Raw genomic sequence first — 20,572 nt, 5'->3', positions numbered from 1 at the left:
AAGGCAGGAGAATCCCTTGAACCCAGGAGGCGGAGGCTGTAGTGAGCTGAGATCGCGCCACTGCACTCCAGCCTGGGCGACAGAGCAAGACTCCATCTCAAAAAAAAGGCCAGGCACCTTTTTCCCCAGCACTTTGGGAGGCTGTGGTGGGCGGATTACAAGGTCAGGAGTTTGAGACTATCCTGACCAACATGGTGAAACCCTGTCTCTACTAAACATACACAAGACATACCCTGTCTCTACTAAACCCTGTCTCTACTAAACATACACAAGACATACTCTGTCTCTACCAAACATACACAAGTTAGCCGGGCATGGTGGCACGTGCCTAGGCATGGTGGCGGGCGCCTGTAGTCCCAGCTACTCGGGAGGCTGAGGCGGGAGAATGGCGTGAACCTGGGAGGTGGAGCTTGCAGTGCGCAGAGATCGTACGACTGCACTCTAGCCTGGGATACAGAGACTCCGTCTCAAAAAAAAAAAAAAAAAAAGTCTGCTATCCTCCTACACCCAGTATGGACTTGAGGAATGAAAAATATGACCTGAAGGCCAGAGTTCATCTTTGAACTTTTCTAAGTTTTTTTTTTTTTTTTTTTTTGAAACAAGATCTCACTCTGTTTCCCAGGCTGGAGTATAGTGGCGTGATCACGGATCATTACAGCCTGGACCTTCCAGCTTCAATTGATCCTCCTGCCTCAGTCTCACAAGTAGCTGGGACCACTGGCGCACGCCACCACACCTGGCTAATTTTTGTATTTTTTTGTAGAGACAGGGTTTTGTCATGTTGCCCAGGCTGGTCCCAAACTCCTAGTCTCAGGCAAGCCTCCTACCTCAGGCTCCCAAAGTGCTACAATTACAGGCATGAGCCACTATGCCTGGCCTATTTTTTTTCTTTTTCTTTTTCTTTTTTTTTTTTTTTGAGATGGAGTCTCACTCTGTTGCCCAGGCTGGAGTGCAGTAGCGCAATCTCGGCTCACTGCAAGCTCTGCCTCCCGGGTTCATGCCATTCTCCTGCCTCAGCCTCCCAAGTAGCTGGGACTACAGGAACCCTCCACCACGCCAGGATAATTTTTTTTGTATTTTTAGTAGAGATGGTGTTTCACCATGTTAGCCAGGATGGTCTTGATCTCTTGACCTCGTGATCCACCCGCCTTGGCCTTCCAAAGTGCTGGGATTACAGGCGTGAGCCACCGCACCCCGCCTTTTTTCTTTTCTTTTTTTTTTTTTTGAGACAGGGTCTTACTCTATCACCCGTGCTGGCATACAGTCGTGCTATCTAGGCTCACTGCAGCCATGACCTTCCAGGATCAAGGATCCTCCTACCTCAGCCTTCTGAGTAGCTGGGACCGTAGGCATGAGCCATCATGTTCAGGTAATTTTTTTGTAAATATGGAGTTTCCCCATGTTGCGCAGGCTAGTCTCGAATGCCTGAGCTCAAATGTTCCACCTGCCTTGGCCTCCCAAAGTCCTGGGATTCCACACCCAGCTTTTTTATTTTCATTAACACACCTGACATGGATATCTTTGAACTTTTCTGATGAAGCTATCTGGGAATGCTAACCTAAGAAGATGCTGAGTCCAGGGCTACCAGTAGCCATCTTGCCACCTAATCTATCTCAACAATGAAACCAATAACTGAGAAATGGAGAGGCAAAGCCCCATGTTTGGGACACTAGATTGAGTCAAAAATAATCAATCCTATGTGGGGGAGATGTTTGAAAAATAATAATAAATAATGTCAAGCAGAAAGATGCAGAATGTAGATGTTCCTAGATCTAGGTGATTCCAAATGCACTCCTAGACTTCCTAGTTACATGAACTAATTAATACTTCCCTCAGTCCCTTAAGCCAAACTGGGTTTTTCTTACGTAAATACCAAAAATTCCTAAATAATGTGACAATCCATTACATAAAACCATTTAATAATTTATTAGGCCAGGCGCAGTGGCTCCAAAAATTACGGAATTTTATACGTGAAAATAACCTCGGGCTGGGCACGGTGGCTCATGCCTGTAATCCCAGCATGTTGGGAGGCCAAGGCGGGTGGATCACCTGAGGTCACCTAGCCTGACCAACATGGTGAAACCCCGTCTCTACGAAAAATACAAAATTAGCCAGGCATGGTGGCGCGTGCCTGTAATCCCAGCTACTCAAGAGGCTGAGGCAGGAGAATCACTTGAACCTGGGGTTGCAGTGAGTCGAGATCACGCCATTGCACTCCAGCCTGGGCGACAAAAGCGAAACTCCATATTAAAAAAAAAAAAGACCTCAGCAATTTGGTCCAGAATGAGATTTACAGATAAAGACACTGAAGTCCACTGAGGAAAAGAGGCCCACCTGAGGGCACGCCACAATATTGGCAGGATCAGATCAGAATCTGTTGCCAAGAAGCTGCTCATAAAAATACTTTTTAAAAATTTTAATTTTTAAATAATTAATGTTCACAGAAGGTTGCAAAAATACATACAGGAAGGTCGCATGTACTTTTCACCCAGTCTCCCCCAATAGTAATGTCTTTCATAAATACAATAAAATAACAAAACCAGTAAATTGATATTGGTACAATCCACAGAGCTTATTCAGATTTCACCAGTTTTAAAGGCATTCATTTGTGCTTATGTATAGTTCTATGTAATTTTATCACATGTAGATTCATGTAAACACCACCACACTCAAGATACAAAGCTGTTCTATCACCACCAACCACCCCATGTCACACCTATATTTATAGCCTCACCACTTCCTCCCCCATCCCTCATCTCTAAGCTATTCTCCTTCTCTACAGTTCTGCTAATTCAGGAATGTTAAATAAATAAATCTTCACCCAGGCCGGGCCTGGTGGCTCACGCCTGTAATCCCAGAACTTTGGGAGGCCAAGTTGGGCAGATCACCTGAGAACAGGAGTTCGAGACCAGCCTGGCCAACATGGTGAAACCCCGTCTACTAAAAGTACAAAAATTAGCCAGGCATGGTGGCAGGCGCCTATAATCCCAGCTACTCGGGAGGCTGAGGCAGGAGAATCACTTGAACCTGGGAGGCGGAGGTTGCATTAAGCCGAGATTGCACCATTGCACTCCAGCCTGGGGGACAAGAATGAGACTTCGTCTCAAAAATAAATAAAGAAATAAATCTTCACCCAGCCCTAGATTCTGGTTATGTTTTAGTTCTAAAAGGCTTACAGTTTTTTTTTTATGTTTAAGTCCATGATCACGTTAATTTTTTTTTTTTTTTGAGATGGAGTCTTGCTCTGTCGCCCAGGCTGGTGTGCAGTGGCGCAATCTCAGCTCACTGCAAGCTCTGCCTCCCGCGTTCACATCATTCTCCTGCCTCAGCCTCCTGAGTAGCTGGGACTACAGGTGCCCGCCAACTCGCCTAATTTTTTTTTTTATTTTTAGTAGAGAAGGGGTTTGACCGTGTTAGCCAGAATGGTCTTGATCTCCTGACCTAGTGATCCACCCGCCTTGGCCTCCCAAAGTGCTGGGATTACAGGCGTGAGCCACTGCACCCGGCCAAGTTAATTTTTATATAAGGTATGACATTTAGGTGGAGGTTCCTTTTTTTCCTTAAGACGTTCAGTTGCTAAAAATATATATTTTAAAGTACCTAGACCTTTTCTGGCAACAACAACAACAACAAAATCAACATAAATATATATATTTATGTATATTTATAATATATATATTATTTATTTTGTTGTTATTATTTACTCAGTCTCTATATATACATATATTTTGAGACTGAGTCTTGCTCCGTTACCCAGGCTAGAGTACAATGGCATGATCTCAGCTCACTGCAACCTCCGTCTCCCGGGTTCAAGCAATTCTAGTGCCTCAGCCTCCCAAGTAGATGGGATTACAGGCGTGCGCCACGACGCCCAGCTAATTTTGTATTTTTAGTAGAGACAGGGTTTCACTGTGGTCAAGCTGCTCTCGAACTACTGATCTCAAGTGATCCACCTGCCTCAGCCTCCCAAAGTGCTGGGATTACACGTGTGAGCCACCACACGTGGCCACAAAGAATATTTTTTAAAGACTAATATTTTAAAAGATGAACTACTAGATAGAAAAAAAATACTTTCTATGTAAAAAAGAAAAAAAAAAAAAAAACTGGCCAGGCACAGTGGCTCACGACTATAATCCCAGCACTTTGGGAGGCCGAGGTGGGTAGATCATCTGAGGTCAGTAGTTTGAGACCAGACTGGACAACATGGCAAAATCCTGTCTCTACTAAGAATACAAAAATTAGCCAGGCATGGTGGCGCACACCTGTAATCTCAGCTACTTGGGAGGCTGAGGCAGAAGAACCGCGTGAACCCAGGAGGCAAAGGTTGCAGTAAGCCGAGACCATGCCACTGTACTCCAGCCTGGGTGACAGAGCTAGACTCCATCTTAAAAAAAAAAAAAAAAAAAAGCCTGGGTGTGGTGGTTCACACCTGTAATCCCAGCACTTTGGGAGGCCGAGGTGGGCAGATCATAAGGTCAGGAGTTTGAGAACAGCCAGGCCAATATGGTGAAACACCATCTCCACTAAAAATACAAACATAAGCCGGGCGTGATAGTGGGTGCCTGTAATCCCAGCCGCTCAGGAGGCTGAGGTGGGAGAATCGCTTGAAGCCGGGAGGCGGAAGTTGCAGTGAGCTGAAATTGCGTCACTGCACTCCAGCCTGGGGGACAGAGCAAGACTCCGTCTCAAAAAAAAAAAAGAAAAAGAAAATAGCCAAGTATGGTGGTGTCCACACGCAGTCCCAGCTATTCGGGAGGCTGAGACAGGAGGGTGGATTGAGCCTGGGAGGTGGAGGCTGCAGTGAGCCATGTTCATGCCACTGCACTCCATCCTGGTTGACAGAGACAGACCTCAGCTCAAAAAAAAGGGAGGGTGAAGAAGAAGACATGTTCACGTATATTTGTATATACACAAACTACCTCTAGAAGTATATAAAAAGTAATTTTAAAAAACTTCCAAAATTTAACTTTTTTTTGAGATAGGGACTCACTCTGTTGCCTAGGCTGGAATGTAATGGCTTGATCACAGCTCACTGTAGTCTCAAACTCCTGGGCTCAAGTGATCCTCCCATCTCAATGTCCCAAGTAGCTAGGACAACAAGCTCGAGCCACCATGCCTAGCCAATTTTTAAGTATTTTGGAGAGACAAGGTCTCACTATGTTGCCCAGGCTGGTCTTGAACTCCTGGGCTCAAGCAATCCTCTTGTCTTGGCCTTCCAAAGCACTGGAATTATGGACATGAGCCACTGTGTTGGGTCCAATTTAACTTTTTTTTTTTTTTTTGCGTTTAGGAGTGGAGGTTTAATAGGCAAGAGAAAGAGAAAGGAAAATAGTTCTCTCTCTAGTGAGAGAGAGGGGTCTTCTGAGAGGAAATGGCCCCAGTTTAGCATTTTTAAGTGGGAGAAATAACAAAAAAACAGAGGCAGGGACAAAACAGAGCCAGGAATAGGGTAAAATCTCCTACAGAACCAATGAGAGAAGGCATGTAAACTTAAAGAGAAGGTATACATTTCACTCTAAGCCTTCTTCCAGCAGATAACACAAAAAGGGAGACCATATCAGTTAAACAGACGCAGCGTTCATCAGAAAAAAAAAAAAATCCAATTGCTCATGAAATTAGTTATACTATTCTCGGTACTAAGAATAGAGGGGATTTTTCTCCCTCTGGATCTGTCTAAAGAGAACACTGAATGGTGCTGTCAACATTGTCTCTACAACAGCTACAACAATGAGCAATCATTATTTCCCCTAGGGTATGGTCACTGTCATATGACAATATTAAACATTTTGACTTTGCAGCCACCATGTCTTTTGTCTTAAGCTGATCACAACCTTACCTTGGTTCCATTTGGTGTTGCAGGGGAGGCTGGGGAAAAGGCAGAGCTTGCGTCAGGAGATTTGGGAACAAATGAGGGTTGATCTAGGGCTGAAGCTGACGTAGAGGATGGCGAAGTCTCAGACAGAGGTTGGTTCTCCTGCATATGGGGTAGGACGTGCTCTACCACCCATCCAGAATAAGAAGATAGCTTGGGAAGAGACATACATTCTTCTAAAACATCCTAGAGAAAAGAATAGGGTTAAGCTCAACTTACACGTCAACTGTTCTCAGTATAATCCACTACATGCCTTACTGAACATCTAAGAAGGCCTAAATAAATAAACATCAAAGACCCAAAGTAATGTATTAACAATCAGATGAAAACAAAGTACAGTGGTTTCTTGATAATGACCTAGACTACTATCCTTCTAATGAAAATCAGACTAAATAACCCTAACTACAGAAAAAGGGACAATGCACAAAGATTCCCACTAAAGCATATGTGAAAGCAATCTAAAGCACTGAACAGAACACGAGGAATTCTGAAGTAAGCTACTGTATACACAATCAGTAGAATGTCAGTCACTTAACAATGGGGGTAAGTTCTGAGAAACACAGGGTTAGGTGATCTTGTCATTGTGCGAGTATCGTAAAGCATCCTTACACAAACCTAGATGTATATATTTTTTCATTTTTAAAATTAATTATTTTTGAGACAGGGTCTCACTCTGTTACCCAGGCTGGAGTGCAGTGACCTAATCATGGCTCACTGTAGCCTGACCTCCTGGGCTCAAGCTATCCTCCCACCTCAACCAGTCTCCCCAGCAGCTGGGAGTACAGGCATGCGCCACTATATTCAGCTAATTATTTTTTCATTTTTTATAGAGATGGAGTCTTGATATGTTGCCCAGGCTGGTCTTTTTTTTTTTTTTTTTTGAGATGGAGTTTCGCTCTTGTTGCCCAGGCTGGAGTGCAATGGCACGATCTTGGCTCACCACAACCTCCACCTCCCAGGTTCAAGTGATTCTCCTGCCTCAGCCTCCTGAGTAGCTGGGATTACAGGCATGCACCACCATGCCTGGCTAATTTTGTACTTTTAGTAGATACGGGGTTTTCTCCATGTTAGTCAGGCTGGTCTCGAACTCCTGACCTCAGGCGATCCACCCGCCTCAGCCTCCCAAAGTGCTGGGATTACAGGCGTGAGCCACTGTGTGCCCAGCCTTTTTTTTGAGATGGAGTCTTGCTCTGTCACCCAGGCTGGAGTGCAGTGGCACGATCTCAGCTCACTGCAACCTCCACCTCCCGGGTTCAAGCAATTCTCCTGCTTCAGCCTCCCGAGCAGCTGGGATTACAGGTGTCGACCACCACACCCGGCTAATTTTTGTATTATTACTAGAGACAGGGTTTCACCATGTTGGCCAGGCTGGTCTCAAACTCCTGACCTCAGGTGATCCACCCACCTCAGCCTCCCAAAGTGTTGGGATTACAGGCGTGAGCCACCACGCCCGACTATTTTTTTTTTTTTTTTTTTGAGAGACAGGCTCTCATTCTGTTCCCCAGGCTGGAGTGCAGTGGCGTGATCACGGCTCACTGCAGCCTCAACTTTTCATGCTCAGGTAATACTCCCACCTCAGCCTCTCAAGGAGCAGGGACTACAGGCACGCACCACCACACCTGGTTAATTTTTTTGTATTTTTTGTAGAGGTGAGGTTTCTCCACATTGCCCAGGCTGGTGTCGAACTTCTGGGCTCAAGTGATCTGCCCACCTTGACTTACCAAAGTGCTGGGATTGCAGGTGTGAGACACCAAGCCTGGCTCCCAGCTTGAACTGGCCTCAAGCACTCGTCCTGCCTCAGCCTCGCAAAGTGTTGGGATTATGGGCATGAGTCACCACAACCAGCCTAATAATATTTTAAAAAATAGAAATAGATATGGATATGTATGTATACACCCTTAGTAGTAATAATGAGCATATCTAGTACCAGATCTTGGTTTGTAAATATAATTTTAAATCAAAGGAAACCAGGGGTCTCTGCAGAAAAGGTAAGTTCCAGAACTGGAGGCAGAAAAATATAAGATGAGCGTGGAACATCTTTGTATGAGAAAATAAGTACTGATTACCTATGATATAATAAATAAATGAAAAAACTAGAGTAGTTCAGAGATTGCTACAATGAGATAAAGTAAACTGATTGAGCAAATAAGTAAACATATTGAGAATAACAGGAGCCAAACTTCTCACTGCTAGGTAACATATTTACAAACATGGATGGGGTAAGATTAGAAAGAAAAGTGAAGTGCTGGGTTGGAAGTGGCATTTATCAGTATGAAGTCATGGTTTTATAATATATATGTACACACAAATAGACAGTACATAAATGTGTGTGTGGTGATGTGTGTACATATTTAGATATGTATTATTTCCTAGCTCTGTCTACTGAGAAGGCCTAGAAGCAATGGTACCCAATCAAGAATCTCAACACACTCAACTCCCAGATCTTGGTTTGCCAATACAGCACCATCCTCCACTTCAAAAGAGTCAGCCTCTTTGGAGAAATAGCTGATTCCAGGATTAAGACAGGGAAACTTGCACCTGGGACATCTTTTTGTGTCAAAAAGTAAAGAAATGTCAATGAAAGATGGAAATATGTCACAGGAACACAGGAACCAACTTAATGAGGTGCCCAGTAGCCAAATCTGGGACATTTTTCTTTTTAATTCTTATGAATACATAATTGTTGTACATATTTACAAGGCTACATTTTTTTTTTTGAGACACAGTCTCACTCTGTCACCCAGGCTTGAGTGCAGCAGCACAATCTCGGCTCACTGCAACCTCTGCTTCCAGGGTTCAAGCAATTCTCATGCCTCAGTCTCCCGAGTAGCTGGGATTACAGGCATGCACCACCATGCTCGGCTAATTTTGTATTTTTAGTAGAGATGCGGTTTCACCATGTTGGCCAGGCTGGTCGCGAACTCTTGACCTCAAGTGATCCGTCCCCCTCGGCCTCCCAACGTGCTGGGATTACGGGCCTGAGCCACCACGCCTAGCCTTGCATGTGATTATTTTGATACAAGCTTACAAAATCTGGGACATTTAAAATAAAATAAATAAATAATAAAAGTAATGGATTACAACTCACTGAATAAAATAGAAAGCACCTCCTTACAGTAGAATGCCAACTAACAAATGCAGAAGGAATAGCGGATATAAAGAAACAGGATCTGGCAACGTCATAGAGGTATCGATTCATGTGGAAAACATCAATGAATGCTAAAGCCATGGAGGATTAAGGTTTGCCCAGAAAAAAGGATACTGGTATTATTACTTCCCAACAATTACTAAGGGAAAAATGACGAATTTTAAACGGAGAGACCAGGCAGATAATAACGTAACCAGGTGATCAAGATTAGCATCACCAGTGTTGGGATGGGTTGACATCTGTGTGCCTCCTCATGTGACTTACTGAGAAAGCCATGGCATCATTTCTGTGGTATTCCTGCCAAGAATGCTTAACCTTGGTCTGGTGGTTTGAAAGCACATATGCTGGCAGTCAACCTACAGAATGTAAGGTCTGTATTTTTCAAAACTGTCAACAACATAAAAGACAGGGAAATACTTTAGGATTGTTTCCCAAGAAGTCTGAGGATGCAGGACAACGCCTTATCTGTAGCTAACTAGCAGCGACTCGGGAATGGGAGCTCGGCCTTAACTCTCCACATCCCTCCACTTCTCGCGCAGAGCTTTGCAAATGCTAGGTACGGTGACCACGCCCCCATTCACTTTCCAGGTCTGCCAAATCAATCTAAAAATTTGGTCATTTCACTAGTAGCAATGGATTAGGTCGTGTCAATCGTTCGTCGCAAACTCTAGAGCTCCCAGCACATGAGACATACAGTAAGTTAACTGAACCTGGGGCCGAGATTGCTTTGACAACAGCAGAACGGAGAAGGCGCCCAACTGGCGGAGGGTAGCAATGAAGCCTTCAGAGCGCGGGGCACCTGTGAAGTCAGGGGAGCTCCCCGAAACGCTAAAATAGGCTGAAGAGGACAGAAACCCCAGGACAGAGGGATGTACACACAGAAGTCAAGAAATAAATGCAGGTTGTTAGACTGCACGGGTTCCCGGGAGCAGAACGTGCCAACGGCTAGGGAGAAGGTTTCGGTCGCGAGGGGCCGGAAAGGCCTACGTCCTCCGGGGCCACCGCTCACCTCGCGCCGCAGCAGCCAGTCGCGGTAGTAGCAAAGGCGACCTTTGTCGGAACTGCGTAGGGCCTTCAAGGTCTCCCAGCAGCGACCCTCAGACGGCATGGTTGGCTAAGGGGCAGCTTCTCTGACGCCCCCCTTCTGACCAAACAAGCCCTCGAATCAGCCGCCGGGAAGGCCACACAGGCTTCTGCTTCCGGGACGCGCGCGCAGCACAGCCCCGCCCCTAACGCCTGCACGCCCCACCTCCGGCGACGCTCCCGCGTTCCCGCCCTCCCACCAGTGCGCCTGCGCGCAGGGCTTGGCTGTCGGGGCACGTTCCGCAGAGGTAACCACCGCTCCCAATCCCCGGGGCTGCTGAAAATTTGTCTGTGCCTTGAGACTGTGCAGAAACTGGAACCCTCATACACTGCTCATGGGACTGTAAAATGAAGCACCTGCTGTGGAAGACAGTCTGGCAGTTCCTCAAAAGGTTAAACAATTACCATTTGACCCAGCAATTCTCCTAGGTAAATATATATATATATATAAAATACGCCAAAGAAATGAAACCTATGTATATATAAAAACTTGTCCATGAATGTTCACAGCAGTGTTATTCATAATAGCCAAAAAGTGAAAGCAACCCAAACGTCCATCCATTGGTGAATGGATAAATAAAATATAGTACTATGTGCGCGGTTCCCGAGTTCCCCCGCTTTCTGTGCACTGACCAAGTATCAGAGTGCCTTGACCGCCCTGTGACCCAGCCAGCTGCAAGTTTTTTCCTGCAGACTTGCAACCAAACACGGGCCTTGCATATCCCTAGGCACTAAGGATATCTAGGTTATTGCCCAAAACGCTGAAACTGACCCCTGCTTTTAGCCAAATTCCATAAACCCTCATATAAACTTCATACCCTGACCCCTCGCTGGGGATGTACCTAGGTGAAACACCGCTTCTCTCTGTCTGTCGCGAGAATTGCTGCAGCCCACTCTGTAAGCTTCCCTAATAAATGTTTTGGGTTTAATGCTGCTTTTTTGAGACAGAGTCTTGCTCTGTCCCCCAGGCTGGAGTACAGTGGCTCGATCTCGGCTCACTGCAACCTCCGCCTCCCGGGTTCAAGCGATTCTCCTGCCTCAGCTCCCCGTGTAGCTGGGACTACACGCGCCAGCCACCACGCCCAGCTATTTTGTATTTTTAGCAGAGGCGGGGTTTCACCATGTTGGTCAGGCTGGTCTCGAACTCCTGACCTCAGTTGATCCACCCACCTCGACCTCCCAAAGCGTTGGGATTACAGGCATGAGCCACTGCGCCCGGCCATAGTGCTTCTTTGGAATCCCAACCAGCCCTGTTTGGCAGGAGGAAACACCACATCTATATAATGGAATGTTATGGGGCCATAAAAATAAAGTGCTGATGATACGCTGCAACATCAATCTTGAAAGCATTATGCTGAGAGAAGCCAGTCATGAATGGCCACATGTTGGACAATTCCACTTATGTGAAATATCCAGAAGAGACAAATCTATAGAGCCAGAGAAACTTTATGACTAGTTGCCAGGGGCTGGGGGAGGGGAATGGGGAGTGACTGCTAATGGGTATGGCGTTTCTTTTTTGGGAGTGATGAAATTGGTTGGCTGGGTGCCGTAATCCCAGCACTTTGGAAGGCCAAGGTGGGCAGATCACCTGAGGTCAGGAGTTTCAGACAAGCCTGGGCAACATGGCAAAACCCTGTCTCTACAAAAAATACAAAAATTAGCCAGGCAAAGTGCCATGCACCTATAGTCCCCACAGGCTGATGCAGGAGGATCCCTTGAACTCTGGAGGCAGAGGCTGCAGTGAGCCGAGATGGTGCCACTGCACTGTAGCCTGGGTGACAGAGAGAGACTCCATTTCGAAAAAAGAAAAAACTAGGTCTAGAATTAGATAATGGTGATGGCTACACAACTTGGTGAATATACTACAAACCATTGAATTATATATACACTTTATCTTTTCGAGACAGAATCTCGCCGTGTTGCCCAGGCAGGAGTGCAGTGGCGTGATCTTGGATCACTGCAACCTCCACCTCCTGGGTTCAAGTGATTCTCCTGCCTCAACCTACCAAGTAGCTGGGACTACAGGCGTCCACCACCACTCCCGGCTAATTTTTGTATTTTTAGTAGAGACAGGGTTTCACCATGTTGGCCAGGCTGGTCTCGAACTCCTGACCTCAGGTGATCCACCCGCCTCGGCCTCCCAAAGTGCTGGGATTACAGGTGTGAGTGACCACGCCTGGCCTATATTTACACTTTAAAAGGGTGAATTCTAGGCCAGGTATGGTGGCTCATGCTTGTAATCCCAGCAGTTTGGGAGGCCAAGGTAGGAGGATGGCTTGAGCCCAGGAGTTTGAGACCAACCTGGACAACATGATGAGACCTGCCTCTACCAAAAAAAAAAAAAATCCAAAAATTAGCCAGGCATGGTGGCATGCACCTGTGCTCCCAGCTACTCAGAAGGCTGAGGCAGGAGATCGCTTAAACCCAGGAGGCTGAGGCTGTAGTGAGCCATCATTGTGCCACTGCTCACCAGCTTGGATGACAGAGGGAGACCCTGTTTCAAAAAAATAAAAAGAGTGAATTTTATGTGAATTATATCTCAATAAAAATAGAATGAGTCACAATTGTCCAGAGACGGCTCTAACTGGGACCCCAGACTTTCTGACCCTTCCATTGTCCACCACCTCGTGAGATCTCAGTTTGAGGTAGGAAGAATTCTCTCTGGAGTATGAGCAATGTGAACAATTTTCATTTTCTGAGTTTTTAAAAATTCCCTGGACTTCTTGTAATAAAAATATTTTAAAAAGAAAAATTGTTGGAAGAGTCCCCAGAGTCCCAGCAAGGGACTCCAAGAGAGGTGTTGCTCACACCAGAGTTACATAGCAGTGCCCTGCACTGAGGTTTTCTCTAGTTTGGCAAAAATAATAATGAGTTATACAGATATATATACATGCTGGTGGAAGTTTGTCAATTGTCCTTTCTCGGGAAGGTCTTTCACCTATTATAAGTTCTTGTCTATTTACGTTAAGAGTATGAAAATGGGCTTAGTTTTTTTGGCAGTGGTAGCTGGAATTACCTTCATTGGAAAAACTGAAAGCTGGAAACTATAAATATCCTCAAAATTTGGTAGAGAAAAGAGATTTCTGGTCTTTGAAATCCAGATGCCTAGGTGGATTCAAGAACACAGAGAAGGCTGGGTGTGGTGGCTCACCCCTGTAATCCCAGCACTCTGGGGGGCCAAAATGAGAGGTTCACTTGGGCCCAGGAATTCAAGACCAACCTGGGCAATGTGGTGAGATCTGTCTCTACAAAAAATAATAAAATTAGATGGGCATGGTGGCATACACTTGTGCTCTCAGCTACTGTGGAGGCTGAGGTGGGAGGATTGCTTGAGCTAGGGAAGTCAAGGCTGCAGTGAGCCATGTTCCCGCCATTGCACTCAGTGTGGGTGACAGAGACCTGTCTCCAGAAGAAAAAAGAACAGAGAAGAAATTCTCTAGAGTTGAGTCAGAGTGGCTGAGAGGTGAGAAGACTGGACCACCCAGGCCAATACTAGCTAGAATCAGAAGGGCAGAGGTTAGCACAGTACGAACAAAAATGGTGAACAAAAATGGCCCAGATTCTTATTCAGAAACCAATTCACATTTTAAAAATATATACTGTACACTACCCCATCCTCTTCCTAATAGCTAAAGTGATCTACCCTAAAACACCAAGCAATCCTTCTTACAGTTTGTTCCCTCCTGACAGTTCATTGATTACAATGTGAAAGCACCAACCTGAGCTAAAATGAAATGAGAAGCCTGATGTTTCAGGCACCAAGTACTTTAAAAATGTCTACTGGCTGTCCTGCAGCATTTTACTTAATCATTTTTTAGAGGAGGGATGAGGACTGGTTGGGTAAAGGAAATCATCAAATGGAGCCTTAAATAACTGATTACAAAAGCTTTTTGTAAAATCACACAAATATTTCAAGAATAAATGCATTCCAGAGATACAAATCAGGCCAAAAGAAACAAAAATCAATGAAATTGGCATTACACTTGTAAAAGGCCAAATGGACACAAGCCCTCGAGGGTCTATTGTGAAGTGCTTGGGGGCAAGTGGCCTCAAAGAAACTTGGGAGTGAGAGGTTTGCACTGAGCTTGGGAAGGGAGCCTTGGGAAAACACCACACTTGTGAAATCAGAAAAAAAAAAAAAGCAAGTGATGGTGCTTACAGCCCAGGACGACTTCCTGCTGGTTTAGGTCAGAAAAAACCTGAGAGAGATTCCTAAAACAATGAGGGCTGTAAGGGGACTGGTGGAAAAAATCCAGTGGAAATATTTTCTCAGGAAAGGAAGGAGCAAAGTCATGGTAAGTTAAAATGTGGTACCCTAATGTAGTAGTAAATTTAAGGCCTGTCGAGGAAATTTTAACACTTCCAACAGGTGACTATATCAGGAAGGAGAAAACCAAGTGCTTCCTGCTTCACCTTCTGCTGCTTTTGGGACTTTTCTAGAGCTAGTAGCTAAGGACAAGACCCTGAACCCATTTTTTCACTGGGAGAGGAAAACCACCAGGCTTCTCAGCTATGGCTTGGCAACTCTGGAGTTCCTATGGCTTCCATCAGGGCTCCAGGCCCTGATAAGTGGCCTCAGGCAGGAGGAGATCGGGAGCGGATGGGAGAGCTAGTCAGGAAGGTGGAATAGGGACCATCCCCAAACACGTTGGCGTATGATGATTTGAGGAACTGGACGTAGTTCTGCATGCTGCGGTTGGTGCTCTCGGACTGCTCCAGGCGATCTTTCAGGTCTTGCAGCCGGCTCTGGTAGCGGCGGTCCGCCTAACGAGGAGAAACAGAGCATGGGCCCGCTGTGCAGTGTCCAAAATAGAAATCCATAGAGACATAGGGACTTTCTTAGGAGTTGCCAGGAGGTTTGGGGAGGCGAGTGTGGAGTGACTTCTAATGGGTATGGGGTTTCTTTCTGAAAATATTCTAAGACCAGGCACAGTGGCTCATGCCTATAATCCCAACACTTCGGGAGGTCAGGACGGAATGATCACTGGAGCCTAGGAGTTCAAGACCAGCATGGGCAACATAGTGAGACTCTATCTCTACAAAAAATACAAAAATTAGCTGGGTGTGATGGTGTGCGCCTGTAGTCCTAGCTGCTCAGGAGGCTGGGGTGGGAGGACTACTTGACCCCAGGAGTTTGAAGCTGCAGTGAGCTATGACAGCACCACTGCACTGTAGCCTGGGTGACAGAATGAAACTCTGTCTAAAACAAAACAAAACAAAACAAAACAAAACGTGAGTCTGGGTGCAGTGGCTCACACCTGTAATCCCAGCACTTTGGGAGGCCATGATGGGCAGATCATTTGAGATCACGAGTTGAAGACCAGCCTGGCCAACATGGCGAAACCCCATCTCTACTAAAAATACACACAAAAAAGTAGCCAGGGATGGTGGCACATACTTGTAATCCCAGCTACTTGGGAGGCTGAGGGTGGGGTGGGGATCATATGAAACCAGGAGGCAGAGGTTGCAGTGAGCTGAGATCGTACCACTGCATTCCAGCCTGGGTGACACAGGGAGACTCCGTCTCTAAATAAATAAATAAATATCTACCCAGGATATCCTTAAGGGATAGAAAGTGATTGGAGAAAAATAAAACCATGTCATATTCACAAAAACAGTAACAACAAAACACCTTGGCCCACAGGCCCCACAGAAGCTAGGTCTGCTGCCCACTCTCCTAGCCCGGCCCACCAGCCTGACTCACATCATCACGGCTCCGCCGCAGCTGGCTCAATTCCGTTTTGGTTCTGCTCAGCTGGGTCTCAAGGTCCAGGATTTTGTTCTGGGCTGCTCGCTCCTTGGAGAGTGCGTGCTCCTTGGTTTGTTCCACCTGCACATTCAAAGGCCCAGACATGAGACTGGTTTACCGGACATGGGGAACACTTGGCAAAGAGAAGGCTGGGCCCACTATCTGGTCTTGCAGACAGCACTTGCACATCATTGTGGACTGTGTTCTCTAGAACGCTGGGGCAGGAACTAACTATGGGGACTATGCCTGCCACCCAGCTTTGCCAGTGCTCCAGGAGTCACCACCTAAGATGTGGTAAGCCTATGTGAGGCTCAAGAGGGTAGTGAGTAAATGAGCAATCATCAGATATCAAGTGCTGAGCCCTCTACGATGAAAATGTGATCCTTACAACTAATTCATGAAGCGGGTACTACTGTGTGCCCATTTTTCAGATGGAGAAATAAGCTGAGAGTTTAGGTGATTTGCCCAAGGTCACAGAGCTAGTCATTCATGAAATCGGGACTGACCTGCCTCCTCGCATCTTCAATGGCACTCTCCAACTGCCTTGCCAGGGTCCCACATTCCCGTGTTTTCTCCTCCAGCCGCAGCTGGGACTGGTGGATTGCCTCCTCCCTCTTGGCAATCACCTGTAGGAACTCGATATTCTGGGCACTGGTCGCCTCCAGTTTCCTAGGTGAAAGCACTCAATCAGATCCTGGGCATACCCCAACCTGTCATGTTCCACCCCGCCAGGGGGCTGCCAGCCTCTCCTGGACTGGGGATCTCATCATGCCAAGAATCTCCAAGGAGCCACAGGAATAAGCCAAAGAAATCTGCAGATCAGCAAGGCGACCAAAGAACTGTGCAGCTGGAGCAACTGGTTAGAGAACAGAGTGAAGGGTGGGAACGCAGAGACTGACCGTGGGCTTTGTTAAGTGTGGATAGCATCACATGGAACACAGCAACTTGCAGCTCAGAAAAATGGTACCATTATTATCCCCACTTCAGAAATGAAGAAACTGAGCCTCAGAGAGGGGAATTCATTGGCCTGAAGTCAGCACAGCTGGCAAGTCTGTAACCAAAACCTAAGCCTGCAACTTCTGCTGTTCACTGCTGCCTCCCACAGCAAAGGGACTTCAGCTACACCACTCAACATCTTGTGTGACCAGCCATAGGGCAAATATGGCCATCCCGATATACACACACTGTCCTCAGTGCACTTCCAGGATGCCTTCCAATTTAAGGAGCTCTGCAGGGCCTGGGGGATCTAGCTGCCATTTCCAAGGCTGGCAGGGCAGAGCAGAGGTGGAGCCTGGAAGGAGCCCACTTGGTTGTAGCCTCCTTGCAAGTGCACTGGCCACCTGAGGCACTTAGGGCCTCCTAGGATGTCAGGCACCTTCACCTCTGAAACTAAGGCTGGGACCAGGGCTGGAGGACTCTTGCCCACCTCTTTTTTTTTGAGATGGAGTCTTGCTCTTTCGCCCAGGCTGGAGTGCAGTGGTGCTATCTCGGCTCAATGCAAGCTCCGCCTCCCGGGTTCACGCCATTCTCCTGCCTCAGCCTTCCGAGTAGCTGGGACTACAGGCGCCCGCCACTGCGCCCGGCTAATTTTATACATATATATATATATATATATATATATATATATATATATATTTTTTTTTTTTTTTTTTTTTTTTAGTAGAGACGGGATTTCACCGTGTTAGCCAGGATGGCCTCGATCTCCTGACCTCGTGATCCGCCCGCCTCGGCCTCCCAAAACGCTGGGATTACAGGCGTGAGACACCACGCCCGGCCTCTTGCCTACCTCTTAGAGATGCTCACAGAAGCTCTCGAGGAAGACAGTCACGGGTCTAAGTCATGCTTTGCCAGGTACCAACAGTGTGATGCTGGGAAAGTCACTTAACTCCTCCCCAAGCTCAGTTTCCTCATATTTAAAACTGGGATAATACCAGCTAACTAATAACATGTTCTAAGCTATACTGAGCGCTTCTCTATGCCAGGTAACATGCTAGGACCTTTACCAGGATTATATCATTGAAGACTCACACCACCACCATGAAAAGATTATTATCAGCCAGGTGTGGTGGCTCCCGCCTGTACTCCCAGCACTCTAGGAGGCCTAGGTGGGTGGATCACTTGAACCCAGGAGTTCAGGACCAGCCTGGGCAACACGGCGAAACCCCATCTCTACAAAAAATACAAAAATTAGCCAGGCATGGTGGCATACGCCTGTAGTCCCAGCTACTTGGGAGGCTGTGGCAGGAGAATTGCTTGAGCCCAGGAGGTCGAGGTTGCAGTGAGCTGAGATTGCACCACTGCACTCCAGCCTGGGTGACAGAGTGACATGATAGATAGATGATAGATAGATAGATAGATAGATAGATAAACTCTACCTTGACCCTTTCCTCAAAAGGAGGAAATTGAGCTTCAAAGGAATTAAATGATTTGCTCAAGATCACAATGCTGGTAAGTGGCAGAGCTGGGCCCCAAGGCCAGGGCTTCTGATTCCCAAAGCCGTACCCTTCACCTCTGACTGCCTCCAACAATCCGTAAATAACAGAGAACGGTCAGATCAGAAAGGTCTTGGGAAGGGTGACTGGCAAGAAAGGGCAGAAAAGAGTGGGGAAGTGCCCCCACCACAGTATACTGGCTGCTCCATTCAAACTGGGCCCTCCTGGCAGGCCTGGACCAGGCATGCCTTTTGGGACAGGTGGTGCCTACAGGTGGGCAGATCCTGATCATGCTGTCATGGAGTGTCTCCCCAGGCTGAGAGGCCCCCTTGCTCTCTCCCACAATGCTTACCACTGAAATGGAAGCAGCTTTTCCTCTGAGGTCTGCCTAGTACCTTCCAGGGCCTCGAGTCCCTCAACACTTCCGCACACTAAGCAAAAAACAGCTAAGTGGCTGAAAGTCTCAGGTCCTAGGAAGAGGACAGAGATGGGACCAAGTGCCTCTAACCTCTCCAGTTCATCCACCTTCAGACTCAGCTGTTTATTTTCCTTCTGGGAAGCCTGATGTTTCTCTCTCGCCATCTCCAGCTTGTCCCCCTGGTGTTCGATCTAAAATGACAGGAACACAGACTGGTTTACAAAGGAATTTCCCGCTAGAGCCCTCCCCTTTCCCTATGACCTGTTGTCCACACCCAGGAAAGGGGCACAGTGCCCTCAGCAGGTGTCCAAGTCTCAACGCACAACCTAGAGGAGAAAGGACAGCAGGGACAGGTTAGGCCCAACTCCAAAGACAAAAGGCTCTCCCCACACTGGGAGAAACCAGGTTTGATGCTAAAGAATGACAAAGATGCTTTCTCGATCAGGGGAGGCCACTCAGAGAGACCCAGCTAGGATCCAGGACAGACATGAGAAGGCAGAAACAGCTGGCAGGGCTAACTGGCCCATACAAACCAACCACAGAGCTTTACCTGTTATGTTGCTGGTACTATTGATCTCAACCTCCTCTTAACTGGGGACAAGTGCAGGCAAGACAACAGGAAATCTGTCAATCCTTTTGAGTTGGCAAGTTTGAGAATTTACCCAGAGGGCTGTTTTATGCAGAAGCCTCAGCTATCAAGGCTCAAAGTCCCTGAGAATGCTCAGGTTCAACGGAGAAGGCAGGCAATGTAAGGTTACAGTACTGAGAATGTGGGCTTGGGAACCAGACAGAGCTGGCTGGGTTCCAATCCCTGCTTACTAGGTACTAGCTCTGTGATGGTGGGGAATTACTTCTCCTCTCTATGCCTTGGGCTGCTTTCTGTAAAATGGGGAAAATAACACATGCACCTCACAGAGTTCCTGATGGAATTAAATGAGAGAATGCAGGAACACAGAAGAGGTGCTCAAAAAATGGTAGCCCCTTTTCTAATTATCACAAGTACACACGTCAAGAGTGGGAAAGGGGCCTTGCCCAAGGTCACGCTGCAAATGAGTGGTATATAATTTCTTGGACACTGCAGGCCGTAGGCATGGTTCCAGTAACCCAGAGACAGACTGCTTCTGGGAGAAAGGGATGCTTGCTTCTTTCAGGACAGAATCTCAGGCAGTGCATCTGTTAAAGAGTCAGGAGAAGCAGCTAAAGCAAGAGAAAAAAAGAAATTCTACGGCTCGGTGTCTGCTGGCATCTCCCAGCTGTGGGTGTGGAGCTGAGGACAGCTGCGGAGCACACAGGCAGAGGCAGCAGTCTTGGGTGGGGGCAACAGCAGGAGGGCCCAGTGACTCCACGCAAGTGACGGCTCCTATAACTACAATCACTTTGTGCAAACACATGGCATTTGGCACACCAGACTTTTATTTCACAGCACTGATGATAGCTCACTCCTTTTAAAAAGCAGCAGCCAAGAAAAAGGAAGTAGTCCTCCCTTGGGGGGCGTGCAGCTCATCTTGGTATGCGGGCCCCTGCTCGGGTCAGTTCGTGGGACCCTTTCTGCCAGTCCCTTACCCGGCTGCGCAGGTCTGATATGATGGCTGTGAGGTCGATGTTCTTCCGCTCATAGCCCTGCAGTTGGTCTTGGCACTCAGCCAGCTTCGCCTCCGTGATCTTCAGGATGTCAGGGAGCTGCTGCAGGTCAGCCAGCTGAGACTGGAACTGCCTTCGTGCCTGAAACAGGAAGGAAAGACCCACAGGAAGGAAAGACCCACAGTTAGGAAAGACCTGGCTCCTAGTGGAGCCAGGCAGAGTCCTTTAGAGTTAGGGCAGGGCTGACACAGTCCCCAGTGGAGGATCCTGCAAAATCCACAGCAGAAGT

At 47.0% G+C, this 20,572-nt stretch overlaps 2 protein-coding genes across 31 annotated transcripts in view, besides 4 other annotated features; both read right to left on the bottom strand.

Annotated features, from left to right (window-relative positions):
* GLE1 (GLE1 RNA export mediator) overlaps positions 1-10,242 on the bottom strand; it is a 37,597-nt gene extending 27,355 nt beyond the window's left edge. For 2 of the 8 annotated variants that reach the window (NM_001411013.1, NM_001003722.2), the window contains exons 1-2: positions 10,030-10,215; positions 5,837-6,058 (exon numbers count right to left, since the gene is read on the bottom strand). In NM_001411013.1, the coding sequence (NP_001397942.1) occupies positions 5,837-6,058; positions 10,030-10,128 (321 nt within the window). In that variant the 5' untranslated portion in view covers positions 10,129-10,215. Of the gene's footprint in view, positions 1-5,836; positions 6,059-7,593; positions 7,719-8,960 lie in introns of all 8 variants that reach the window. The other 6 variants (XM_006717060.4, XM_024447519.2, XM_047423234.1 and 3 more) reach the window with 6 other exon arrangements.
* Positions 9,815-9,974: an enhancer, noted in NCBI's record as "active region_29084". NCBI's record gives its function as "activates an Ori minimal core promoter by ATAC-STARR-seq in GM12878 lymphoblastoid cells {active_cell/tissue: GM12878}" and the evidence as "EXISTENCE:reporter gene assay evidence [ECO:0000049][PMID:35858748]".
* Positions 10,195-10,404: a silencer, noted in NCBI's record as "silent region_20344". NCBI's record gives its function as "represses an Ori minimal core promoter by ATAC-STARR-seq in GM12878 lymphoblastoid cells {active_cell/tissue: GM12878}" and the evidence as "EXISTENCE:reporter gene assay evidence [ECO:0000049][PMID:35858748]".
* Positions 13,642-20,572, bottom strand: part of ODF2 (outer dense fiber of sperm tails 2) — a 46,108-nt gene continuing 39,177 nt past the window's right edge. For 13 of the 23 annotated variants that reach the window (NM_001351584.2, NM_001351578.2, NM_153435.1 and 10 more), the window contains 5 exon segments: positions 20,266-20,424; positions 18,793-18,893; positions 16,359-16,521; positions 15,808-15,933; positions 13,642-14,867 (listed from right to left, as the gene is read on the bottom strand). In NM_001351584.2, the coding sequence (NP_001338513.1) occupies positions 14,679-14,867; positions 15,808-15,933; positions 16,359-16,521; positions 18,793-18,893; positions 20,266-20,424 (738 nt within the window). In that variant the 3' untranslated portion in view covers positions 13,642-14,678. 23 annotated transcript variants of the gene reach the window in all.
* Positions 18,810-19,104: an enhancer, noted in NCBI's record as "tiled region #9551; HepG2 Activating DNase unmatched - State 12:CtcfO, and K562 Activating non-DNase unmatched - State 17:Gen3'". NCBI's record gives its function as "activates a minimal TATA promoter and a strong SV40 promoter by Sharpr-MPRA in HepG2 and K562 cells {active_cell/tissue: HepG2 | K562}" and the evidence as "EXISTENCE:reporter gene assay evidence [ECO:0000049][PMID:27701403]".
* Positions 19,648-20,148: an enhancer, noted in NCBI's record as "H3K4me1 hESC enhancer chr9:131257065-131257565 (GRCh37/hg19 assembly coordinates)". NCBI's record gives its function as "activates a minimal SCP1, AML or CMV promoter by ChIP-STARR-seq in primed H9 embryonic stem cells {active_cell/tissue: H9 hESC(primed)}" and the evidence as "EXISTENCE:reporter gene assay evidence [ECO:0000049][PMID:30033119]".

The sequence above is a fragment of the Homo sapiens genome, chromosome 9 (genome assembly GCF_000001405.40).
Source record: "Homo sapiens chromosome 9, GRCh38.p14 Primary Assembly".
In the NCBI taxonomy this organism is placed as follows: Eukaryota; Metazoa; Chordata; class Mammalia; order Primates; family Hominidae; genus Homo; species Homo sapiens.
This window is presented reverse-complemented; position numbering and strand designations above follow the sequence as displayed.